At 44.5% G+C, this 3,643-nt stretch overlaps 1 pseudogene across 1 annotated transcript; it reads left to right on the forward strand.

Annotated features, from left to right (window-relative positions):
• The first annotated feature begins 595 nt into the window (after window positions 1-595).
• On the forward strand, window positions 596-1,754 carry OR7E14P (olfactory receptor family 7 subfamily E member 14 pseudogene; annotated as a pseudogene). Its single transcript, NR_045002.1, has one exon. The product of NR_045002.1 is annotated as an olfactory receptor family 7 subfamily E member 14 pseudogene (transcript).
• Window positions 1,755-3,643: the final 1,889 nt, after the last annotated feature.

A 3,643-nucleotide genomic window follows, 5' to 3' on the forward strand; every position in this document is an offset into this window, starting at 1 on the left:
AATCCCGGCACCTCAGGAGGCCAAGGCTGGCGGATCACTCGCGGCCAGGGGCTGGAGACCGGCCCGGCCAACACAGCGAAACCCCGTCTCCACCAAAACCAGTCAGGCGTGGCGGCGCGTGCCTGCAATCGCAGGCACTCGGCAGGCCAAGGCAGGAGAACCAGGCAGGGAGGCCGCAGTGAGCCGAGATGGCAGCAGCACAGTCCAGCTTCGGCTCCACATGAGAGGGAGACCGTGGGGAGAGGGAGAGGGAGACGGAGAGGGAGAGGGAGAGGGAGAGGGAGAGGGAGAGGGAGAGGGAGAGGGAGAGGGAGAGCGCTCACATCTTCTATCTGTCCAAACTGGGACCGAGTCCTCGGCCTCGGAGGCTCCACGCTCCCTCTTTCCAGGATAAACTTTTTCTTAAAGTGAAGAGAATGTTTTTATTACATATTTTTCTTCTGAAAAGATAGACTGTATTTTCTAGCAATTACGAATTTGTTATATATGATGATCTGGTTCTCGGAACATTCTTGAATCTAGTGTCTCTAAGGCAGGTGTGTACAGCAAGAAGTGAATAACACAAAAATCAATGATGAAAGAATTATAAGACAATTGAGTTTGTCACAACTGCAAAATATTGCTGAGTGTGGATTGCTCTGAAATCTGAAAACATTACTTGTGAATTGCTTATATCCAAAATGCAGACACAGTGCTGGGTGTTGGTGTGCTTGTTTCTGATTTTTCAACCCTCTTTTCTAGGCCAAAGGTGTCCAAACTATACAGACCCACAGAATCTAACAACAGATGTCTCAATATTCCTCGTCCTAGAACTCTCAGAGGATCCAGAACTACAGCCGGTCCTCGCTGGGCTGTTCCTGTCCATGTGCCTGGTCATGGTGCTGGGGAACCTGCTCATCATCCTGGCCGTCAGCCCTGACTCCCACCTCCACACCCCCATGTACTTCTTCCTCTCCAACCTGTCCTTGCCTGACATCGGTTTCACCTCCACCATGGTCCCCAAGATGATTGTGGACATCCAATCTCACAGCAGTCATCTCCTATGCGGGCTGCCTGACTCAGATGTCTCTTTTTGCCATTTTTGGAGGCATGGAAGAAAGACATGCTCCTGAGTGTGATGGCCCTATGACCGGTTTGTAGCCATCTGTCACCCTCTATATTATTCAGCCATCATGAACCCATGTTTCTGTGGCTTTCTAGTTCTGTTGTCTTGTTGTCTCAGTCTTTTAGACTCCCAGCTGCACAATTTGATTGCCTTGCAAATTACCTGCTTCAAGGATGTGGAAATTCCTAATTTCTTCTGTGACCCTTCTCAACTCCCCCACCATGCGTGTTGTGACACCTTCACCAATAACATAGTCATGTATTTCCCTGCTGCCATATTTGGTTTTCTTCCCACCTCGGGGATCCTTTTCTCTTACTATAAAATTGTTTCCTCCATTCTGAGGGTTTCATCATCAGGTGGGAACTATAAAGCCCTCTCTGCCTGTGGGTCTCACCTGTCAGTTGTTTGCTTATTTTATGGAACAGGCGTTGGAGGGTACCTCAGTTCAGATGTGTCATCTTCCCCCAGAAAGGGTGCAGTGGCCTCAGTGATGTACACGGTGGTCACCCCCATGCTGAACCCCTTCATCTACAGCCTGAGAAACAGGGATATTAAAAGTGTCCTGCGGCGCCTGCACGGCAGAACAGTCTAATCTCAATATCTTATTATCTGTTCCATTCCTTTTGTAGTGTGGGTTTAAAAAGGCAGCAAGGTCTGGCCGGGCGCGGTGGCTCATGCCTGTAATCCCAGCACTTTGGGAGGCTGAGGCAGATGGATCACCTGAGGTCGGGAGTTCAAGACCAGCCTGACCAGTATGGAGAAACCTCGTCTCTACTAAAAATACAAAATTAGCCAGGCGTGGTGGCACATGCCTGTAATCCCAGCTACTAGTGAGGCTGAGGCAGGATAATCGCTTGAACCTGGGAGGTGGAGGTTGTGGTGAGCTGAGATCACGCCATTGCACTCCAGCCTGGGCAACAAGAGCAAAACTCTGTCTCAAAAAAAAAAAAAAAAAAAAAAAAAGCAGCAAGGTCAAATATCAATAATATCACAGGGTGAACACCCACTGTGATATTAGGAGTAATACCTCCCTAGGATATAAAAAATACTATCACAGAGTGTACACACGGGGTATACCCACTGTGATATTAGAAGCAATATCTCCCTAAAATATTATGAAAAATATCACAGGGTGTGCATACACTGTGATACTAGGAGTAATATTTACCCTGGATATTAAGACTAATATCAAGGGTGTACACACACGGGGTATACCCACTGTGATATTAGGAGTTGTATCTCCCTAGGATATTATGAATAATATCACAGGGTATACGCCATGTGTGTAAATCCACTGTCATATTTGAAGTAATATCTCCCTATGAGATTACAAATAATATCAAAGGGTGTACACCCCCTGTGACATTAGAAGTAACATCCTTCTAGGATATTACAGATAACATCACAAGGTGTACACTTCTGTGACCTTTTGTACACTTTGTACACCCTTTGTGACATTAAAAGAAACATCCCCCTGGGATATTAAGAATAATATCACAGCAGGTATACACACATGGTGTACACCCCATGTGACATTAGGAGGAACATCCCCCTAGGATATTAGGGATCGTGTCACAGGCATTGAATACATATGGTATACACCCCCTGTGACATTAAAAGTAACATCCCCCTAGGATATTACGAATAATATCACAGGGAGTACACCCCGTGTGACATTAGGAGTAACATCCCCCGAGGATATAACGGATAATATCAGAGGGTGTACATGCATTGTGACCTTAGTAGTAATACCTCTTTGGGATATTACAAATAATATCACAGGGTGTACACGCATTGTGACATTAGTAGTAACATCCCACTAGGATATTACAAGTAATATCACGGGGTATACACGCCCTGTGACAATAGGAGTAACATTCCCCTAGAATATTACGAATAATATCACAGGAGGTACAGCCCCTGTGATTTACAAGTAACATTTCTATAGAATATTACAAGTAATATCACTGTGTGTACACCCCATGTGACATTAGGAGTAATATCCCACAAAACTATTACGAATAATATCACAGGGTGAACACCCCCTATGACATGAGGAGTAACGTAGTTTTAGGATATTATGAATAATATAATAAAGTGTACACACCTTGTGACGTTAGGAGTAATATCCCTCTAGGATATTAGAAATAATATAACAGGGAACACACCCCCTGTGACAATAGGAGTAACATCCCCTTAGGATATTACGAATAATATCACAAAGTGTACATGCATTGTGGCATTAGTACTAATATCCCTCTCATATACTATGAATAATATCACAGGGTGTACATCCCTGGGACATTAGGAGTAACATCCCCTTAGGATATTAGGAATAATGTCACAGGGAGTATACACCCTGTGACTTTAAAAGTATCATCCCCCTGCAATATTACGAATAATATCACAGGGTATTAACCCCCGTGACATGAGGAGTAACATCCCTCCAGGATATTAGGAATAATATGGAGTCCTAGTTTTGTAAGATATTATGAATAATATCACAATAGTGATATTATACACATAGCGTGTACACCT

The sequence above is a fragment of the Homo sapiens genome, chromosome 11 (assembly GCF_000001405.40).
Source record: "Homo sapiens chromosome 11, GRCh38.p14 Primary Assembly".
NCBI lineage: Eukaryota > Metazoa > Chordata > Mammalia > Primates > Hominidae > Homo > Homo sapiens.